The sequence below is a fragment of the Homo sapiens genome, chromosome 1 (genome assembly GCF_000001405.40).
Source record: "Homo sapiens chromosome 1, GRCh38.p14 Primary Assembly".
NCBI classification, from domain to species: domain Eukaryota; kingdom Metazoa; phylum Chordata; class Mammalia; order Primates; family Hominidae; genus Homo; species Homo sapiens.
Window position 1 is genome coordinate 43,639,448 of NC_000001.11, and position 22,008 is coordinate 43,661,455.

The window sequence follows — 22,008 nt, forward strand, 5'->3', positions numbered from 1 at the left end:
CCAGCCATCCCCAAAGCTCTTTGTGCCTTTGCCTGTAACACCAAGCCATCCTCTGCAGAGAAGAGAGAATACATCAGCTAAGAAAGAAATCGATGTCTGTGTTAAACATTGGAACTCAGTGTATTTGTGGGTATGCATGTGTCTGCCTCTAAACATTTTTTTTTTTTTTGGATGGAGTCTTGCTCTGTCGCCCAGGCTGGAGTGAAGTGGCACGATCTCAACTCACTGCAACCTCCGCTTCCTGGGTTCAAGCGATTCTTCTGCTTCAGCCTCCCAAGCAGCTGGGATTATAGGCCCGCACCACCATGCCTAGCTAATTTTTGTATTTTTAGTAGAGACAGGGTTTCACCATGTTGGCCAGGCTGGTCTCGAACCACTGACCTCAGGTGATCCACCCACCTCAGCCTCCCAAAGTTCTGGGATTACAGGCGTGAGCCACCATGCCCGGCCCTCTAAGCATTTTTATATTTATGTTTCTATATTTCATAGGCTAGAGGGCCCTGGTATTTCCAACTGACCTTGTCTGCAAGGCTGAATTAAGGCTGAATTTTCTTTCTTATTTACATGGACTAAACTGGCCTCAGAAGCCCCCTCCCCAGGGAACCAGGCTGACCAGGTCACAGTGTGTCAGTGTGTTCCTGGTGCTTACTCTCATGGCTTCTTATCTGGGCGGCTCCTGTCAGGCTCTTTGTCCAGAGCTTCCCAAAGTACAAGAAAAGATTGTTTACTTTCTTTCAGCTGCTAGTGCCCACTGGCAAGGGTTGAATGTAAATGACCCAGAGGTGAAGGCTGAAGGCATCATTAGTATACAAACATAGTCCTTCTTGTTTGTTTATTGATTCAGTTTCAGTTTATCATTCATTCTTTCTATTTTTTTTTTTTCTGGGGCAGGGTTTTGCTCTGTTGCCCAGGCTGGAGTGCAGTGGAGTGCAATCTCAGCTCACTGCAACCTCCACCTCCCAGAGCTCAAGTGATCCTCTCACCTCAGTCTCCCAGGTGGCTGGAACCACGGGCGCACACCACCACCTGGCTGATTGTTGTATTTTTTGTAGAGACAGGGTTTTGCCATGTTGTCCAAGACAGGCTGGTCTTGAACTCCTAGGCTCAAGCAGTTCACCTGCCTCAGGCTCCCAAAGTGCTGGGATTACAGGTGTGACCCGCCACGCCCAGCCCATTATTTTATTGCACATACCTCCTCAGGCAGACTGCTCATTTCAAATTATCTAACCTCCCTGCACTCTAGTTTCCTCAGCTTTACAATGGGACAGTAATAATGCCACCTTCTAAAGTTCATTGCATGGATGAAATTAAGGAATATTATTCCTTGACTCAACAAATATTTAATGAGCACATACAAGGAGCCAGGGCTGCTCCAAGGGCCAGGGATAGCGGTGAACCAAGCAAAGGTCCCTGCCCTCATGGAGCAGACATTCTAATGGAGAGAACTAAACAATAGAAAAATAAATAAAGGATATACTGGTGGTCAGGGAAGGCTTCACTGAGGTGACATTTCAATGAGGCCCTGAAAGGTGAGGGAGCAAGCCATTCAGACCTGAGGGGGAACAGCGTCCTGGGAGAGTGTGCAGAGAGCGGGTGGGGGACGACTGTCTGTAGGCTGTTAAAAGGATTTGGCTTTTCGGCTAGGAGCGGTGGCTCAATGCCTATAATCCCTGCACTTTGGGAGGCCAAGATGGGTGGATCACCTGAGGCCAGGAGTTCAAGACCAGCCTGGCCAACATGGTGAAACCCTGATCTCTACTAAAAATACAAAAAATTAGCTGGGCGTGCTGGCATGTGCCTGTAATCCCAGCTACTTGGGAGACTGAGGCAGGAGAATTGCTTGAACCTGGGAGGTGGAGGTTGCAGTGAGCTGAGATCGCACCACTGCTCTCCAGCTTGAGCGAAGAAGTGAGACTCCGTCTAAAAAAAAAAATTAGCCAGGTGTGGTGGTGCACACCTGTAATCCCAGCTACTTGGGAGGCTGAGGCAGGATTGCTTGAACCTGGAAGGCAGAGGCTGCAGTAAGCCACACCACTGCACTCCAGCCTGGGTGACAGCAAGACTCTGTCTCAAACAAAAAGAATAAAAGGATTTGGCTTTTCTTCAAAATGAGATGAGAAGTCATGTGATGGTTGTAAGAAGAGGAGTAACATGATGTAGCTTCTAGTATTAAAGAATCACTCTGGCCAGGCACGGTGGCTCACGCCTGTAATCCCAACACTTTGGGAGGCCGAGGTGGGTGGATCACAAGGTCAAGAGATTGAGACCATCCTGGCCAACATGGTGAAACCCCGTCTCTACTAAAAATGCAAAAATTAGCTGGGCATGGTGGCACGCGCCTGTAGTCCCAGCTACTCGGGAGGCTGAGGCAAGAGAATCATTTGAACCCAGGAGGCAGAGGTTGCATTGAGCCAAGACCACACCACTGCACTCCAGCCTGGCGACAGAGTGAGACTCCGTCTTAAAAAAAAAAAAAAAAAGAATCACTCTAGGCTGAGCGGAGTGGCTCATGTCTGTAATCCCAGCACTTTGGGAGGCCGAGGCGGGTGAATCACCTGAGGTCAGGAGTTCACTACCAGCCTGGCCAACATGATGAAACTCCGTCTCTGCTAAAAATACAAAAAATTAGCCGGGTGTGGTGGTGGGCGCCTGTAATCCTAGCTACTCGGGAGGCTGAGGCAGGAGAATCACTTGAAAAAAAAATTAGAAAACCCGTTTTTTGTTGTTTGTTTTTGTGTTTGTTTTTGTTTTTTGAGATGGAGTGTCACTCCATTCCCCAGGCTGGAATGCAGTGGCGAGATCTCAGCTCACTGCAACCTCCACCTCCCAGGCTCAAGCGATTCTCCTGCCTCAGCCTCCTGAGTAGCTGGGATTACAGGCCCATGCCACCACACCTGGCTAATTTTTGTATTTCTAGTAGATGTTGGCCAGGCTGGTCTTGAAATCCTGACCTCAAGCAATCCACCTGCCTCGGCCTCCCAAAGTGCTAGGATTACAGGCTCGAGCCACCATGCCCAGCGTAGAAAATAATTTTTTAAAAAATTAAAAAGAATCAGTCTGCTGTGTTGAGGAGACTGCAGGGGGCAAGGGCAGAGATACAGAGACATTAGCAGGCTGTGGCAATTATCCTATTCAGGCTAAGGATGGCTTGGAGCAGGGTGATGGAGTGGAGGTGAAGGGAAGTGTTGAATTCTGGACATATTTTAGGGGCAGAGCAGAACTATGTAAATGTTAATGTCAATGCACCAAAACCACAATTCATACAATAAACTGATAAATTGAACTTCATCAAAACGAAAACTCTTGTGCTTCAAAAGACACTAAAGAAAATGAAAAGGCAAGCCACAGAAGGAGAGAAAATATTTTTAAAGCCTACATCTGATAAAGGATCTGTATCCAAATACATAAATAACTTTTACAACTCAATAATAAGAAGACAAACAACCCAATTAATACATTGACAAAAGGTTTGAATAGACATTTCACCAAAGAGGATATATGAATGGTTAATAAGCACATAAAAAGATGCCCAACATCATTAGTCATTAGGGAAATGCTAATTAAAACCACAGTGAAATACTACTTGGCACCCACTAGAATGGTTATAATCAGAAAGATAGACAGTACCAAATGCTGGCAAGAATATGGAGAAATGGGACTCCTCATGTATTGTTGATGGGAATGTAAAATGGTACAGCTACTTTAGAAAATAGTTTGGCAGTTTCTTAAAAAGATAAACACAAATTTACTATACAACCTAGCAATTATTCCACTCCTTGTTATCTACCCAAGAGAAATGTAAACAGACATTTACACAAAGGCTAGCATGTAAATGTTCATAGCAGCACTATTCCTAATAGCCAAAAAGTGGAAGCAACCCAAACATCAATCAACACTACAGTGGAATACTATTCAATAATAGAAAGGAGGGAAATACTGATGCATGCTACAACATGGGTGACTCTCAAAAAAATTATGCTCAGTGAAAGAAGCCAGACACAAAAGACCACATAGTCTATGGTTCTATTTATATGAAATGTCCAGAAAAGGCAAATCTATATAGACAGAAAATAGATTAATAATTGCCTGGGGCTGGGGGTGGGAATGGAGACTGATTATAACTGGGCACGGGTAATCTTTTTGAGGTGGTAGATTTTATTGAGGTGATGGAAATGTTCCAAAACTGGATTGGGTGATAGTTGCATGCGTTTGTAAATTTATTTAAAAATCATTAAATTATATTATTAAAAAGAACATTGTTAATGATAGCATATATCTAAATGTAAACAATTTTTGTGCATATAAAGCATTTAGCACAGTGTTTGAAATATAACAGCTCAATAAATGTAGTTAACTTTGTTTTGTTTGTTTGTTTTTTGTTTTTTGTTTTTTTTTTTGAGACTGAATTTTGCTCGTCACCCAGGATGGAGTGCAACGGCACGATCTCGGCTCACTGCAACCTCCACTTCCTGGGTTCAAGCAATTCTCCTGCCTCAGCCTCCCGAGTAGCTGGGATTACAGGCGCCTGCCACCATGCCCAGCTAATTATTGCATTTTTAGTAGAGGCAGGGTTTCACCATGTTGGCCATGCTGGTCTCTAACTCCTGACCTCAGGTGATCCACTGGCCTCAGCCTCCCAAAGTGCTGAGATTACAGCAGTGAGCCACTGCACCCAGCTGTAGTTAACTTTTTTTTTTGGGGGGACGGAGTCTCGCTTCGTCACCCAGGCTGGAATGCAGTAGCGCAATCTCAGCTCACTGCAAGCTCCACCTCCCAGGTTCATGCCATTCTCCTGCATCAGCCACCTGAGTCGCTGGGACTACAGGCGCCCACCACCACGCCCGGCTAATTTTTTGTATTTTTAGTAGAGACGGGGTTTCACTGTGTTAGCCAGGATGGTCTCGATCTCCTGACCTCGTGATCCACCCACCTCGGCCTCCCAAAGTGCTGGGATTACAGGCGTGAGCCACGTCACCTGGCCTAGGTGTAGTTAACTTTTTAAGCGAATAATATTGCCATTATGATTACTTATGTCATGCCTGCCATGTGCTCGGCATTGTGCTGAGTGCTGGATAAAGTGAAGCTCTAGGAAAGGAAACCCTGGACTGGGAACATGGCATACACTTTATGCCATGATAGCTTTATTTCCAAATCCTGCTGCCATTGGTGGCAAGTCACTCTAAAGGTGTTCTCCCCTATTCTTTTCCTTCATAGCAAGCACAACTTTGTGGCAATTTTTCTTTTTTTGAGATAAGAGTCTCACTCTGTCATCCAGGCTGGAGTGCAGTGGCTCCATAATAGCTCACTGCAGCCTCGAATGCCTCAGTCTCAGGAGTAGCTGGGGTTACAGGTGTGAATCACACCCAGCCTATAATTTTCTTTCTTTGTGCAAGCACTTGCTTCATGTCTCTCTCTCACTAGATTATAAAAACCATGAGTGCAGGAAAGGGTCTGTTCCACTCATTACTGGCAGGCAGGCAGATTCTGGTAGTCTTTTTGCTGGTGTGATAGAAGAAACAGGACACTGTCTCTGTCCTCCTTCTGGAGCTGCAGCAGTCACCTTACAATCACGAGTTGCACAAGAGGGTGGCAAAAGCCACGTTGCAAAGGGTGCAAGAGAAAGATGGAACATACCTGTATGTTTCATGACTTTGTTGAGCACTGAGCTAAGGCTCACCACCTTCAGACCTCTTATCCGATGAGAAAATAAACTTGTATTTAGCCACTTTTGCTAGGGTTTTCTATTTTTGGCAATGGAATACATTCCTAAACGGTATTAGCAATAAGACCAAAATGATATTCTCACGAGACTTTTGTCTAGTGAGGAAAGATGCACATGTAAACAAATCCATGCATTTGTAAAATACTTGCTTTGTGGAGCTCTGGACAGGGTGAGGTAATGGACTGCACCTGGCTTAAGCAATTAGGTCATGGCTCTTCCACTAACTGAGATAGGAAACCTAGGAGGTACAGCTTATTTGTGGGGCAAGAGTAGCTCTTTGTTGGGTAGGTCAGCTTTAAGTAACTGTAGGACAACTAGGGGGAGGGATCCAGAGACAGCAGGATACATGGATCTGAGCTCCAGGGAGAAGATGTCTGGGATATACAATGGGTGTCATCAGTGTGCACATGAGTGCAGCCTAAGAGTGAAAGTGTATTGAGCTCTTGTTTCAGGCTCTGTGCTAAGTGCTTTGTACCATCATCATCATTTACTGAGCTGACATTTACTGAGCACTTACTACGTGCCAATTAGACTTCTAACTGGTTTACTTCATTATCCCATTACTTCATTTATCTCATTCAATTCTCACAACCCAGAAAGGGAAGTACTATCCCAGTTTTAGTTATGAGAAAACTTGAGAACTAGAGAAATTAAGTAACTTGCTAGTGAGTTGTAGAGCCAGAAACACCTGCACGTGGGCAGCTGTCAAAAAAACAAAAACAGAAACAGAAACAAAAACCCACCTGGGCAACATGGCAAAACTCCGTCTCTACAAAAAAATACAAAAATTAGCCGGGCTTGGTGGCATATGCCTGTAGTCCCAGCTACTTGAGAGGCTGAGGTGAGAGAATCGCTTGAGCCCAGGGGGTTGAGGTTGCGGTGAGCTGTGATTGCACCACTTCACTCCAGCCTGGGTGACAGAGGGAGACCCTAACTCAAAGAAAAAATAAAACAAAAGCACCTAAGAAGACTGTGTAGAATGAGAGAAGAGGGCAAAGGACCTAAAGCTATGAGGACATTAACATGTTTTTCCTTTTTTTTTTAACTAAAAAATTTTAAATTTACTTTTAAAAACTAAGGTATATGTATATCAAAACTTATGCACAACTTTCAAGCATACAGATCAGTTAATTTTCACAGCCGGGCATGTTCATGCTTGGAAATTCCAGCACTTTGGGAGGCCAAGGCAGGAGGGTTGTTTGAGCTCAGAAGTTCAAGACCAGCTGAGACAACATAGGGAGACCCCACTTCTATTTTTTTTTTTGAGACAGAGTTTTGCTCTTGTCACCCAGGCTGGAGTGCAGTGGCGTGATCTCGGCTGACCGCAACCTCTGCCTCCTGGGTTCAAGCGATTCTCCTGCCTCAGCCTCCTGCGTAGCTGGGATTACAGGTGTGCACCACCATGCCCAGCTAATTTTTTATATTTTTAGTAGAGATGGGGTTTCGCCATGTTGGGCAGGCTGGTCTTGAACTCCCGACCTTAGGTGATTTTCCCACTTTGGCCTCCCTAGTGCTGGGATTACAGGCATGAGAGCCACTGCACCCAGCCTCCCAGTTCTATTAAGAATTTTTTGGCCGGGCGTGGTGGCTCACGCCTGTAATTCCAGCACTCTGGGAGGCCAAGGCAGGCGGATCACCTGAGGCTGGCAGTTCAAGACCAGCCTGACCAACATGGTGAAACCCCATCTCTACTAAAAATACAAAATTAGCCGGGTGTGGTGGCTCATGCCTGTAATCCCAGCTACTTGGGAGACTGAGGCAGGAGAATCACTTGAACCTGGGAGGTGGAGGTTGCGGAGAGCTGAGATCACGCCGTTGCTCTCCAGCCTGGGCAATAAAAGGGAAACTCCGTCTCAAAAAAAAAAAATTTTTTTTTTAAATTTAAAATTTTAGTGGCCAGGTGTGGTGGCTCATGCCTGTAATCCCAGCAATTTGGGAGGCCAAGGTGGGCAGATCACCTAAGGTTGGGAGTTTGAGACCAGTCCGGCCAACATGGCGAAACCCCCTGTCTACTAAAAATACAAAAAATTAGCTGGGCGTGGTGGCACACGCCTATAATCCCAGCTACCTGGGAGGCTGAGGCAGGAGAATCGCTTGAACCCAGGAGGTGGAGGTTGAAGTGAGCTGAGATGGCACCACTGCACTCCAGCCTGGGTGATAGAATGAAACTGTCTCAAAAAAATATCTATCTATCTATCTATCTATCTATCTATCTATCTAACCAATAAATAAAAGTAAGTTTTACAATGTGAACACACTAGCATAACCACCATCTAGATGAAGAAATAGAACATTGCCGCTGGGCGGAGTGGCTCGTGCCTGTAATGCCAGCACTTTGGGAGGCCGAGGCAGGTGGATCACTGTGGTCAGGGGTTCGAAACCAGCCTGGCCAACAGGGTGAAACCCCATCTCTACTAAAAACACAAAATTAGCCGGGCGTGGTGGCACGTGCCTGTAATCCCAGCTATTTGGGAGGCTGAGGCAGGAGAATCACTTGCACCTGGGAGGCAGAGGTTGCAGTGAGCCGAGATCACACTACTGCACTTCAGTCTGGGCAACAAGAGCAAAACTCCATCTCAAAAAAAAAAAAAAAAAATTCCTAACACCCCAGAGCATTCTTTGTGCCACCCTTTCCCATCATTCCCTGTCCCCTACCTAAAAGTAACCAGAACATTGACTTTTATTGCTATAGGTTAGTTTTGCTTAGAATATCGACATTTAAAGCGTGCAAAGGGGCTGGGCACGGTGGCTCACGCCTGTCATCCCTGCACTTTGGGAGGCCAAGGCGGGTGGATCACTTGAGGTCAGGAGTTTGAGACCAGCCTGGCCAACATGATGAAACCCTGTCTCTACTAAAAATACAAAAAAAATTAGCCGGGTGTGGTGGCGGGCGCCTGTAATCCCAGCTACTCAGGAGGCTGAGGCAGGAGAATCATTTGAACCTGGGAGGCGGAGGTGGCAGTGAGCCGAGATCGTGCCTGGGCAACAAGAACGAAACTCCGTCTCAAAAACAAAAAAACAAAAAAGCAAGCAAACAAACAAAAAGTGTGCAAAGGGAAAGGTGAGCTTAAAAAGGAAACAGGAAAACTGGTCAGAAAAATGGGAGCATATCACGAGAACTTGATTTAGGCTCCACCTATCACATGCACATACCAATTGGAAGCTAGTGATACACAGTAGAGGGCCCTTGGAAATCATCTGGCAGCACCAGGAAATACAGCAAAATCCAGTTTATGGAACACAGTAACAGTAACTAGCGACTGTATCCATGTCCAGGACAGTGGAGTCTGTGAAGCAACCTGCAGTATCTTGTGCTTAGTGGCAGCAGGAAAGACAGTGGTGGATGAATTCTACCGCAGGATTTGGGTTTTCTTTATGTGTCCTGCAAGTTGGATTCTTCAGACTCGGCACTTTTGTGAGCCACTCAGTATAATCTATTATCTAATACTGTCGATTACCTTACTGGGTAAGGGCAAAAACCCCTATTGTGAAAGACTTGTGGCTGCGTAGCCAACGGCCATTCTTTTTGAAACAGTCATTTCTGTTTTTGAAACTATTTTTTTTAAAGATTTTTTTTTCAGTAGGCATGTACCCAGCCTGAGGCATAAATCATGATTGGTCCATAGCATTCTATGAAATATGTTCTTTTTGCCAACATTCATTAACTCTCATCTTTACAAAATTTGCAAGGCATTATTTTTTCCATTTTATTGATGTGAACTCCCAGGCTCAGAGAAGTTACTAGTTTTGAACACAGGCCTGACTCCATATAGCTCTTTCCAGGGCACTACCCCATTATTCATCCATGGTAATTCTGTATATTTTTTTATGACTCTGGTTGTGGGTATTTTACTTTCCTACTTGACCTTCCCCACTACCCTTGACAATCTGGGAATTCCTTAAGGCGACTCACTACCCCTCAGGAACCGCTCCTAATGACTTCTAGGAAGCCCCCTCGCCCTCCAGAAGTGCCTCTTCTGATTCCCAGGATGCCCCCCTCTCCGCCCCAAGAGCTGCTCCTAATGATCCCCCAAATCCCCGCTCACTGAGGAACTGCTTTTTTTTTTTTTTTTTTTTTTTTAGACGGAGTTTCACTCTTGTTGCCCAGGTTGGAGTGCAATGGCGCGATCTCGGCCCACCGCAACCTCCGCCTCCCGGGTTCAAGCGATTCTCCTGCCTCAACCTCCGGAGTAGCTGGGACTACAGGCATGCAACACCACGCCCGGCTAATTTTGTATTTTTTTTTTGAGTAGAGACGGGGTTTCTCCATGTTGGTCAGGCGGTCTCAAACTGCCGACTTCAGGTGACCCGCCCGCCTCGGCCTCCCAAAGTGCTGGGATTACAGGCGTGAGGGACCACGCCCGGCCAGGAATTGCTTTTTAATGACCCTAAGGAGAGCCTCCCTCATGGTCTGTCCTAATGACCCTCAGGGCAGCTTCCCTTCCCTGTTCAGGCTTGACAGCGAATGAGGGGTTTCCAAGGCCACGGGATTTTGTTTTGAAAACCGAGACACCCAGGACAAACCGGGACAAGACGGTCATCTTTTCAGCACTCCCTGAGCTCGGAAGCTGCCCCTAAGGGCCCCGACACATTTCCACGTTAGGCAAAGAGGATACTCATCCCAAGAAAACTTTGGCCTATCCTTTCGTTAGCGACATCCTATAGTAACCTCACCGCCCTTACCCATCTACCGGACCGGCCCACTTCCAGGTACTAGCTTCTTTCAACCCTGATTAGTTATGGGTGACCAGGAGCCCGCCTATGATTGGCCAGCTTCGCGATCCAGCTAGAGGCTCACTGGCCGCGGTCCCTAGTGGTACAGCGTTTCCTCCCGGCAACAGCCCGAGCCGGCGCTCATAGGCTGAGCACACTGAGGTCGGGACTGGGAGGTGGCTGCGGCGCGTGCTCATTGGCTGGTGTATGGCTTGCAGCCACCCTTGAATTGGTTGACTCTGTACGGCTGCGCAGATGCCGACTTTAGAGGAGGCGGAGTTTCGGCCTTCGCCTGCTGGAAAAGCAGTAGGATCGGCCAGTGGCGACAGCAGGAGCTGAGCCTAAGCCCTGGCGGGGCTTTGGGCTGTAGGTGAGAACTATAGGGTTTTGGAATTCTCGAGGATCATTGCCGCTGTAGCAGTGACCGTGAGTTTTGGTGGGGGAGGGGCGGTGGGGGTGGGTCTTCCAGCGGTGAGTGATCGGCATGTTTCTCGGCCAATAGGAGAAGGAGCTTCCAGAATGGGTTCTGAGATTGGTCCTTTCCAATCTTCAAGGCCAATGGACCTCGGGAGAGGGGGGCGGGTCATCTGGGCCTTATTTTCTTCTTCCTGCGGCCGAGCTTCACTCGCCAAGGCGGCGGGGCCGGGAGGGGCCGAACCTGTGCGCGGTGAGGTTCGGGGACGGTGGGGAGCAGGGTGCGCTGCCTTTGGAGTGATGCTCGCGGGAGCGGCTGCGAGGGAAGGGTGCGGGAGTCCGAGGGGGTTGTTAGCAACAGCTAGCTTTATTGAGTGGGTAAGTACCGGGCCTAGTGCTTAGTGCTTCGCTTGCATCATCTGAGCTAATCACAGCGACCCTGCAGGGCAGGGGGTTGGGATCCCCATTTTACAGGTGGAGAAACTGAGACTCAAGTCAGCTCACACAGCCAAGGTCACATAGCTAATAAACGGCAGAGACCGGATCTGTATTCAGAGTTTTGACTTCGGAGCCGGTGTTCTTGAATCTCTAGGCTTTGTTACTGATTGGGAGGGAAGGTGTCATGAAACGGGAGCTTTCCCCAGGGAACAGATTTGGGGGAAGGGAATCCTAGGGTTGAAGAAGGGATGAACAATTGAGGTGAGGGTGAGGAAATCAGTTTTTCAACAGTTACCGATTGCCTACTCTGTGCCATGCATTGTTCTAGGCATACAAAGATGAATAGGGGCAGAGGCTGATGAAGCCCATTAGGGCCCCTTTGAAGGCCCGGGGAAGGGCCCCAACATTGTATTCACATGATTGTATGTTTTTATAAAATGTGCAAAAGTAAGATATTTTGGATTCATTTTTCTTTTTAAGAGGGTCTTCAAAATTAAATAAACTTCGGGTTTCTCCACACTTGGAGCTGCCCTTGCAGAGGACTTAGTCCAGGTGGAGATGAGTATGTAAGCAGTATAGAGCAGTGGAAGGTGCACTTAAGAGTGGGCTGTGGGCAAATTTCCTGGTATGTAAAACAGGGAGAACAGTATACCTGCCATGCAAAGTTTCTGCCAGGTTCATGAAAAGCGCCTGTTTAGAAACACGCCTTATTTTTGATAGGAAGCCTAGGAGATACGGGTAACTGGATTTGCCTTCTCTCCTACCTTACACAGTTGTGCTCCGTGTTCTGCTCCCAGGCCTGTAACTAGATTTCTGGTGGATTGGAGGCGCTTTTCTCCTTTCTGAGCTCTCCAACTCTCAAAGAGAGTCTTGGAGCTGAACCGCCATACCTTTGGGCCCCAGATAGGGGGTACGGAACTGCTGGACCCTCAGTGAGGAGGGTGGGTAAAGGAAAGGACATACTGGTGTTCCTTCTAGAATGGCCTATTTTCATTGATATGCTTTGTCTTTTTTCAGTTGAGGTGGTCTATTGCGTTACCGAGCTGTGGGGATGCACCCACTTAGCTGAAGTTCTCATCTAAAAACAAAGTATTTATTTTGCTTTCTCCAATCAGTTATGAAGTTTTCCGTGTATTGCCAGTTTAAATTTTGTCCTTTGAGTTCTGGGTACAGTGCAACTGAACTTGTCTGTAGCTTGATTTCATTAAGTACTGCTGAAACTGCATCTTAGTTTCAACAGAACAGTTTCACTTTAGGGTTTTAAAATTATGTTACTAATATCAAAGGGCTTTTAAATCATGTTACTAATATCAAAGTACTTTTGAACCCTTAAGTTTTGTTATCTTGTAGCCACGTAACTTTTATTAGGTATCTGGTTTAGCTGTGCCCTAGGGAGGAGCCTTGGCCTCCCAAAGTGCTGGGATTACAAGGCGTAAGCCACCGCACCCAGCCATGGGTGGCTTTCAAGTTGTAGTGTATTCTGTTTAATACTCTGAAAAGTGATTAGCAAGGTGTTAATAAGGGAGTAGCTTGAAAGGATAAGGGTAAAATATGGGCATTTTAGCTGTACTATTAGGACCAACAACTAAATAATTAGTTTCCTTTTTTTAGCTGAAACAATTTTCTTTTTTTTTTCTTTCAAGAACAATCCTATTGCAGTAACAATGTCTCTGTTGAAATAAGGTTTGAATCCATGCAGTTTTGATACATCAGGTTCTTTTTAAACAGAACCTTTTCGATCTGTATTTCTAGTTTATTTAAATAACTTTTTGTTGTTTATTTAAAAAAAATTTTTTTTGAGACAGGGTCTCACTATGTTGCCCAGGCTGGTCTCAAACTCCTTAACTCAAGCGATCTGCCCACCTCAGTCTCCCAAAGTGCTGGGATTACAGGCTTGAGCCACCACACCCCCACCCTAAATTACTTTTCTTTCTTTCTTTCTTTCTTTTTTTTTTTTTTTTTTTGAGACGGAGTTTCGCTCTTGTTGCCCAGTCTGGAGTGCGATGGCGCAATCTTGGCTCACTGCAACCTTTAGCCTCCCGGGTTCAAGTGATTCTCCTGCCTCAGCCTCCCGAGTAGCTAGGATTGCAGGTGCCCGCCACCATGCCCAGCTAATTTTTTGTATTTTTAGTAGAGACAGGGTTTCACTGTGTTGGCCAGGCTGGTCTCAAACTTATGACCTCAGGCGATGCACCCGCTTTGGCCTCCCAAAGTGCTGGGATTACAGGCGTGAGCCACCGTGCCCGGCCCCTAAATAACTTTTCTAGAGGTAGATTCCAGGTGTGAAGTCTTAACTGTGTCTTTTGAATTTCTATATTATCTTTTACTGTTTTCAGAGTTGATGTTTCCAGCACTTAATTTTAATTTTTATATTATTTTATACTCTTAATGTGTTTCTTCAGATTCCTGTCTGACTAAAGGGACCTCAAAAAGGAGGGAAAATGGCTTCTGAGTCTGAAACTCTGAATCCCAGTGCTAGGATAATGACCTTTTATCCAACTATGGAAGAGTTCCGAAACTTCAGTAGATACATTGCCTACATTGAATCCCAAGGAGCTCATCGGGCAGGGCTAGCCAAGGTAAGGAGCTGGGATTGTTCAAATGGTTTTGTTACCTAGGGCAGAGCAGTAAGATTTTTTTCCTACATTTGGGCCGGAACTGTGTTTTACTGAAAGTTGGGTGGGGTGATGACTTTAGTGAATGCGGTTCTATTTGCAAGTTAATTCCCGTTGTTAACATCAGAAGCATCTCTGCTTTTAGGTAGGAAGAGAGCTACTTGGAATCTTCAGAAAGGGGGAGGTAAAGAGCTAGTGTCTCCAGGCCTGGCTGCTGTTGTGCCTCAGCCCTCTTGGTGGAGCTGGGTGCTGTGGTGTTATTGAACTGCCAGTGAGTGCTTATGCCATCTGACTTCTCTTGCTCTCATTTCAGTCTCATCCAGCACTCTAGTAGCAATTTGGCTTCCCATGTGGACTTTCTTCAAGGGGAGAGAATGCACTGGCCAGCCAACATGAGTATTCTGGTCCTTGTAATTTGAAATTGGTTTCTGGTTTGTACTTCTTTCTCCTGTGAGTTGGATTCGTTATTTTTCCTGAGTCAAATCAGCTTTTCATATATTCTGTCACAATCAGGTTGAGTGCTGGAAGCTGAAAGAACTGCATTTCTGGAGAGATCCTCAGGAAACTGAGAGGCAGGGACCTCAGTCTAAGCCAGGAGGAAATTTTTTACACCATTTTATGTTGTTTGAATTCCCTACCATATGTGCTTGTTACATTTTCAATATGAAAAGAGAAAGCAAGAACATTGGCTACAAAGCTGAGGACCAGTCTTGGACCCTGGTGCCTCCAGAGACTTGAGACGACCACATCCTCTTTCTTATCTGCAGATACGGCTACTGCTGGGTTAATAACAGCAGGCGGGAATAGCAGGGCCTGCAGTGCAGTTTTTCATAGCACATTGCTTTTTTTGGTTGTACTTTATTAGATTTAAAGTTACCAAAAAAATGTCGGTTATTACAAGTTAAATATTTCAAACGCAGATAAAGAAAAGGCTGATCTTCATCCACCTTCTCCAGTGCCGTCTCCTTAAGTGGTATTAGCTCCCTCCACACCTTTTTCTCTGCTCATACAAACATACACACATATAAAATAGTGTTATTTGTTTTGTTTTTAAAAGAGAATGGCATCATGCCATATACATTCCTGTGTTGGTTCGTTCATTCTTTTTTCTTTTTTTTTTTCTTTTTTCCTTTTTAACAACATATATTCCTCCCTCTAGGTCAATTATGGATTCAACTCATTCTTCTTTTTTCTCATGTCGACTGTCTTGTTAATTTATTACTATTGGAATGGGTAATTTGATTATGTGAGTAAAAACAGAATGCTATTGGAAGGTAGCTAATGTAGAGTCTTGCTCCCTTTCCGTATTTTCTTATATGTCCTTTCAGTGTTGCCTTATGCAGATGCTTGTGAGTGTGTGTGTGTGTGTGTGTGTGTGTGTGTGTGTGTGTTGTTTTCTCCCTTGTTACATAAAGTAAAACAATACTCTCTAATTAAAAAAAAAAAAGCTGTATAGTATTCCATAAAGCAGATCTATCTTACTTAACTATTCAAGATTAGATTTTTTTTGTTTTTTTTTGAGATGGAGTTTCGCTCTTGTTACCCCAGCTGGAGTGCAATGGCGCAATCTTGGCTCACTGCAACCTCTGCCTCCGGGTTCAAGCGATTCTCCTGCATCAGCCCCCCAAATAGCCGGGATTATAGTTGAGTGCCACCACACCAGGCTAATTTTTGTGTTTTTAGTAGAGATGGGGTTTCACCATGTTGGCCAAGCTGATCTCAAACTCTGACCTCAGGTGATCCACCTGCCTCGGCCTCCCAAAGTGCTGGGATTACCGGCATGAGCCACTGTGCCCGGCCTCAAGATTAGATTTTTAAGAATGTTATGCTTCTTTGTAATTAAACTGTAATCTAGTGTGTGAAAAAAGGAAATTCTGTACAAGTATAGAGTTGACCAAATCAAGTAAAGTTGTGTTTGTGATTTTTTTAAAGAGAGCCCTGGGCTAGGAGATTGAGAGAGAATCAAGTCTTTAATCTCCTTTCTTGGTGTCCAAATAAGATACTGAAGCTGGGAACAAGTATTACTTACCTTAGGTTGCTGCAATTAGGCAGCTGGTTGGTGGCAAAAGTGGATCAGGGTTAGCATGCCTGTGACTTACTGTGTTTTGGTGAATGTGGGTAAATCAAAGTAACTGTCTAGTAAAATTGACTGTTAGGTTGGCTGGTAACTACATGCTTCCTGGACTCTGACTGGCTTGCCAGGTTTCTCATCTGTCTTTTTGTTTCTTGTGTTCCCTTCAGGTTGTTCCTCCAAAAGAGTGGAAGCCACGAGCATCCTATGATGACATTGATGATTTGGTCATTCCTGCCCCCATTCAACAGCTGGTGACGGGGCAGTCTGGCCTCTTTACTCAGTACAACATACAGAAGAAAGCCATGACTGTTCGAGAGTTCCGCAAGATAGCCAATAGCGATAAGTGAGTGGAAACCCTTTCTTACCTGACATAGCACCTAGGACCCTGGTGTCTCATCCTCCTAGCATCTCCAGGACTGCTGCTGTCCTGATGAACAGTGTCTTCAGCAGGATGGCTCTGTTCTAGCTGTCTCCCTTTCTGCTTTTTTTATGGAAGCATTCCCTCCTCTCAGGACTGTGTCCCAGTCTAAACCTGTTCCTGTTCTTATAACAACAAATCCCATTGTTTTTCCATCAGAAGTAGAATCATTTTCTGACTCTAAAGTTGCAAGGAGAAAGTTGGATGTGGTGCACAAGGAGCTTTTGCTGGGTATTATCAACCACCTGCTCATCAAAAGTGCTTTAGTTCCACTTCCTCTCTCTCGGGATGCTCTGTGTTTAATTGTGCTGGAATTTCTCACTGCCCATCCAGCCTGCTAGCTCATTTCTGTTTTGACATTAACAGTGTGAGTAAACCACCAAGCTGGTTGCTATTTTCTGTCACTCCTTCTTTCTCTGTACATTCCTGTCTCTTTTAGAGATATCTTTCTTTGTGTAGGCCTGTTTTCAGTTCTTCTCTGCTGTTGGTTTTTTTTTTTTTTTTTTTTTTTTTTGAGATGGTGTCTCACTTTATTGCCCAGGCTGGAGTGCAGTGGAGTGATCTTGGCTCACTGCAACCTCTGTCTCCCAGGTTCACGTGATTCTCCTGCCTCAGCCTCCCAAGTAGCTGGGACTACAGGCACGCGCCACCATGCTTGGCTATTTTTTGTATTTTCAGTAGAGACAGGGTTTCGCCACATTGGCCAGGCTGGTCTTGAACTCCTGACCTCAAGTGATCCTCCTGCCTTGGCCTCCCAAAGTGCTGGGATTACAGGCAAGAGCCACCACTCCTGGCCCTTCTCCGCTGTTTTTAATGTTTAGTTCTCATTTTTCCTGAGATTCACAGAGAATAAATTTTGTGTTTCCTTGTTCAGCTCTGACTACTCCATCTTTTTTTTTTTTTGAGGTGGAGTCTCGCTCGTTCCCCAGGCTGGAGTGCAATGGTGCAGTCTCGGCTCACTGCAACCTCCACCTCCCGGGTTCAAGCAATTCTCCTGTCTCAGCCTCCCGAGTAGCTGGGATTACATACAGGCGCCTGCCACCACGCCTGGCTAATTTTTGTATTTTTAGTAGAGACGGGGTTTCACCGTCTCTACTGTCACCCAAGTTGGAGTGTAGTGGTGCAATCATGGCTTACTGCAGCCTCGACTGCCCAGGCTCAAAATGATCCTCCTTGCTCAGCCTCCCAAGTAACTGGAGGTATAGATAGGCATGTGCTACCGCGCTCAGCTAATATTTTTTATTATTTGCTGCCCAGTTTGGTCTTGAACTCCTGGGCTCAAGCGATCCTCCTGCCTCAGCCTCCCAAAGTGCTGGGATTATAGGCATGAGCCACTGCATCCGGCTGACACCTTAACTCCTTTTATTTATTTTTTTTTTTGAGACAGAATCTCGCTCTGTCGCCAGGCTAGAGTGCAGTGGCGTGATCTCGGCTCACTGCAGCCTCCGCCTCCTGGGTTCAAGCAATTCTCCTGCCTCAGTCTCCTGAGCAGCTGGGATTACAGGCGCCCACCACCACACCTAGCTAATTTTTGTATTTTTAGCAGAGGCAGGGTTTCACCATGTTGGCCAGGATGGTCTCGATCTCTTGACCTCGTGATCCACCCGCCTTGGCCTCCCAAAGGGCTGGGATTACAGGTGTGAGCCACCGTGCCCGGCCAACCTTAACTCTTAAAACATCTACCTTGCTGGCCAACCTGCTGACCGATGAGAGAATTTACATAAAGGCATGTTGAAGAAATGTGGGGCTCTGCAGGTGAAAGGCTGTATCCTTCCTGCCATCCTTATTGTCTGATTTTTGCTACACATGAGGAGCAAACTCACCTGCCTTCTGTTTCTCACATGGAATTCAGCCAGGGGCTTCAGTCTCCTCAGCCTTTTTTCCCTTTTTGTTAAGGCTTTTTCTTTTCTTTTTTTTTTTTTTTTTTGAGATGGAGTGTCGCTCTGTCACCCAGGCTGGAGTGCAGTGGCACAATCTTGGCTCATTGCAGCCTCCGCCTCCCAGGTTCAAGTGATTTTCCTTCCTCGGCCTCCCGAGTAGCTGGGAGCCCGCCACCACGCCCGGCCAATTTTTTTGTATTTTTAGTAGAGATGGGGTTTCACCATATTGGCCAGGCTGGTCTCGCTTTTTCTTCTTTTAGCACACTTGTTTTCCTTTTAAATTAACCAGCCCTATGTCTATTCCTTTCGTCCTAATACATAGCAGATTACCTTTAAAGTAAAAACATAACTTTTTTTTTTTTTTTTTGAGACAGAGTCTCGCTGTGTTGCCCAGGCTGGAGTGCAGTGGCACAATCTCACTCACTGCAATCTCTGCCTCCCAGGTTTAAGCGATTCTCCTACCTCAGCCTCCCATGTAGCTGGGATTACAGGTGCCCACCACCACGCCTGGCTAATTTTTTTGTATTTTTAGTAGAGACGGGGTTTCACCATGTTGGTCAGGCTGGTCTCGAACTGTTGGCCTCAAGTGATCAGCCTGCCTTGGCCTCCCAAATGCTGGGATTACAGGCATGAGCCACCGTGCCCAACCTAAAAACCTAAATTCATGAAACAGATTAGTTGACAATAGGGGAGTTAATTGTATTTCAGAGAGAATGTTAGGTCTCTAAAATTTATTATTCCCTAGGTTGACATTAAAGTGTAAGGCAGTTACTTAGTCAGATTTTTTTTTTTTTTTTTTTGAGATGGAGTCTTACTCTGTGGCGCGGGCTAGAGTGCAGTGGTGCTATTTAGGCTCACTGCAATCTCCGCCTCCTGGGTTCAAGCAATTCTCCTGCCTCAGCTTCCCAAGTAGCTGGGACTATAGGCGCCCGCCACACCACCCGGCTAATTTTTTGTATTTGTTGTAGATACAGGGTTTCACCATGTTAGACAGGATGGTCTTGATCTCCTGACCTTGTGATCCGCCTGCCTGGGCCTCCCAAGTGCTGGGATTACAGGCGTGAGCCATTGCTGCTGGCCAGCTCTGCTAATTTTTAAAGTTTTTGTAGAAATAGGATTTTGCCATGTTGCTGGTCTCAAACTCTTGGGCTCAAGTGATCCTCCTGCCTCAGCCTCCCAAAGTGTTGGGATTACAGGCATGAGCCACTGTACTTGGCTAGTTTGAATCTAAAAGAAGTTTTTTTTTTTTTAATTAAATTTTCAGTATTAAGCTAAAGAGTATAGATATTTTTAGACTGGGTGCATTGGCTAACTTCTATAATCCCATCACTTTGGGAGGCCGAGGTTGGAGGATCACTGGAGGCCAGGAATTTGAGACCAACCTGGGCAACATTGCAGGACTTCATTTCTACAAAAAATAAAAACACCAGATGTGGTGGTGTACACTTGCAGTCCTGGCTACTCGGGAGGTTAGGGCAGGAGGATTGCTTGAGCCCAGGAGTTCGAGGCTACAGTAAGCTATGATCACACCACTGTGCTCCAGGCTGGGCAGCAGAGCAAGGATCTTGTATAGTTTTTTTTAAGGTATAGTTTTCTTTTCTTTTTTTGAGACAGAGTTTTACTCTATGGCCGAGGCTGGAGTGCAGTGGCGTTAGTTAGCTCAGCTCACTGCAGACTCCTCCTCCTGGGTTTAAGTAATTCTCCTGCCTCAGCCCCCACCCTAAATAGCTGGGATTACAGGCGTGTGCCACCACGCCCCTCTAATTTTTGTATTTTTAGTAGAGACCAGGTTTCACCATGTTGGCCAGGCTGGTCTTGAACTCCTGACCTCAGGTGATCCGCCCCCGCCAGGCCTCCCAAAGTGCTGGGATAACAGGTGTGAGCCACACCCCTGGCCAAAGTGTAGATATTTTTATGGCTTTATGTAGATAGGTAGATATAAATATGCGTATATGTGAGTACGTATTTTCCTAATTGGAATATTGGATGTGCAAAAATCTATATTTTTAGAGCTATTTTATATTTTTACTAAAATATTTGTTGTTTTTAGGAGTGATTACTTGGTGAGTGTCAGCCACTGCGTAGGGCGCTTGGGCATATAGCAGGGGTACTTACAAATGAGCCCTCTTGGAGCAGCTTCCTTTTGGCTGGTTCAGGGAGGTGAATGCTGTTGGAAAGCCTTAGCTCTTCACATGCTGCTGGGTTTTGGTTGTCTGTGGATATGTAGGGACCTTGGGTCTTGGTCTGTAAGCCCATTTTCTCCCTGGGTGGCCACCTGAATCTAGCAAGGTGTAGTTTAAGTAGAGTCTCTTCAGAGAGTTGAGGATGTTGTGCTTGTTAAGGAAGACCGGTTTACATCTGTGTGTACATTACCTTCCTCAGGCTTCCTCAGGCCCAGTGCTCATGGAAGGGACGTTGAGGGACTGACTACGTATTAGAGCCTTGAAGGCCAAGATTATGCCTTGTTCATTTGAAATTCTTGCTGTCACTGGAATAGGGGATTATGTCTTGTAATGTTCATAATGCCTAATAAACCCCTGTAAGTGGTTTACATGTTTCTTTTTACTTTCAAAAAGGTACTGTACCCCACGCTATAGTGAGTTTGAAGAGCTCGAGCGGAAATACTGGAAAAATCTTACATTCAATCCTCCAATCTATGGTGCAGATGTGAATGGTACCCTCTATGAAAAGGTGAGGCTCACTGGAAACCCTCTGTGCAGTGTTTTTGTAATTTTGTAATACCTTTTTTTCGGCCCGGCACGTAGTAGGCACCTAAAAGCTGTTTGGTGAATGGGTGGATGAACAGATGATCTACCCCCAGCTGATGTTGCTGTGCTGGCCTAATTGTGGGCCATTTTGCATGTGACTGAATTTTATTTCTCCTGCTTTACATGTGAATTGGATGATGTGGTGTTCTTTTCAAGGGTTGTTAGCATAGTCGGTGGGTGGTAGCTGATGAGTTCTTGAAAGGGTGGGTTGGCTCTCAGATAATGAAATGAGGCAGTGTGGTTTCTGCAGAAAAAAGATGACTGACTAATCTAATGAAAGGGGTATACATTTAAGAAGAGAAATACATTTAGATTTTTCAGAACCCTCAAACAAGATTCTGTGGCAAAAGCTATTTTAACCACTTTTATTGGCTTGAAATCCTGCCTTAAATATGGTGAAAGGGGAGAATATTTGGGAATATCTTCAGATGACTGAAAAACAGTAGGGCATTCAGGGATTATCACTCATAATTGTTTTCATATTTTAATTTTTTTTTTTTTTGAGACGGAGTTTCGCTTTTGTTGCCCGGGCTGGAGTGCAATGGCGCGATCTCAGCTTACCGCAACCTCCGCCTCCCGGGTTCAAGTGATTCTCCTGCCTCAGCCACCTGAGTAGCTGGGATTATAGGCATGCGCCACCATGCCCGGCTAATTTTGTATTTTTTAGTAGAGACGGGGTTTCTCCATGTTGCTCAGGCTGGTTTTAAACTCCCGACCTCAGGTGATCCACCTGCCTCAGCCTCCCAAAGTGCTAGAATTACAGGTGTGAGCCACTGCGCTTGGCCCATATTTTAATGTTTTTATCAATTATTGGAAGAGTTAAAAAAATGAATTCCAGGCCGGGTGTGGTGGCTCACATCTGTAATCCCAGCACTTTGGGAGGCTGAGGTGGATGGATCAGGAGGTCAGGAGATTGAGACCACTCTGGCTGACATGGTGAAACCCCGTCTCTACTAAAAATAAAAA

General features: G+C 45.6%; 1 protein-coding gene across 1 annotated transcript in view, besides 5 other annotated features; it reads left to right on the forward strand.

Moving 5' to 3' along the window:
- Positions 10,469-10,588: a silencer, noted in NCBI's record as "silent region_788". NCBI's record gives its function as "represses an Ori minimal core promoter by ATAC-STARR-seq in GM12878 lymphoblastoid cells {active_cell/tissue: GM12878}" and the evidence as "EXISTENCE:reporter gene assay evidence [ECO:0000049][PMID:35858748]".
- The window catches only part of KDM4A (lysine demethylase 4A), a 55,370-nt gene continuing 44,063 nt past the window's right edge, over positions 10,702-22,008 (forward strand). The window contains exons 1-4 of the mRNA NM_014663.3: positions 10,702-10,805; positions 13,690-13,866; positions 16,144-16,319; positions 20,851-20,965. Of these exons, the coding sequence (NP_055478.2) occupies positions 13,729-13,866; positions 16,144-16,319; positions 20,851-20,965 (429 nt within the window). The 5' untranslated portion in view covers positions 10,702-10,805; positions 13,690-13,728. The remainder of the gene's footprint in view (positions 10,806-13,689; positions 13,867-16,143; positions 16,320-20,850; positions 20,966-22,008) is intronic.
- Positions 20,335-21,011: an enhancer, noted in NCBI's record as "OCT4-NANOG hESC enhancer chr1:44125453-44126129 (GRCh37/hg19 assembly coordinates)". NCBI's record gives its function as "activates a minimal SCP1, AML or CMV promoter by ChIP-STARR-seq in naive and primed H9 embryonic stem cells {active_cell/tissue: H9 hESC(naive and primed)}" and the evidence as "EXISTENCE:reporter gene assay evidence [ECO:0000049][PMID:30033119]".
- Positions 21,011-21,305: a silencer, noted in NCBI's record as "tiled region #8117; K562 Repressive non-DNase unmatched - State 15:Elon". NCBI's record gives its function as "represses a minimal TATA promoter and a strong SV40 promoter by Sharpr-MPRA in K562 cells {active_cell/tissue: K562}" and the evidence as "EXISTENCE:reporter gene assay evidence [ECO:0000049][PMID:27701403]".
- Positions 21,011-21,687: a biological region, named in NCBI's record as "OCT4-NANOG-H3K27ac-H3K4me1 hESC enhancer GRCh37_chr1:44126130-44126805".
- Positions 21,012-21,687: an enhancer, noted in NCBI's record as "OCT4-NANOG-H3K27ac-H3K4me1 hESC enhancer chr1:44126130-44126805 (GRCh37/hg19 assembly coordinates)". NCBI's record gives its function as "activates a minimal SCP1, AML or CMV promoter by ChIP-STARR-seq in naive and primed H9 embryonic stem cells {active_cell/tissue: H9 hESC(naive and primed)}" and the evidence as "EXISTENCE:reporter gene assay evidence [ECO:0000049][PMID:30033119]".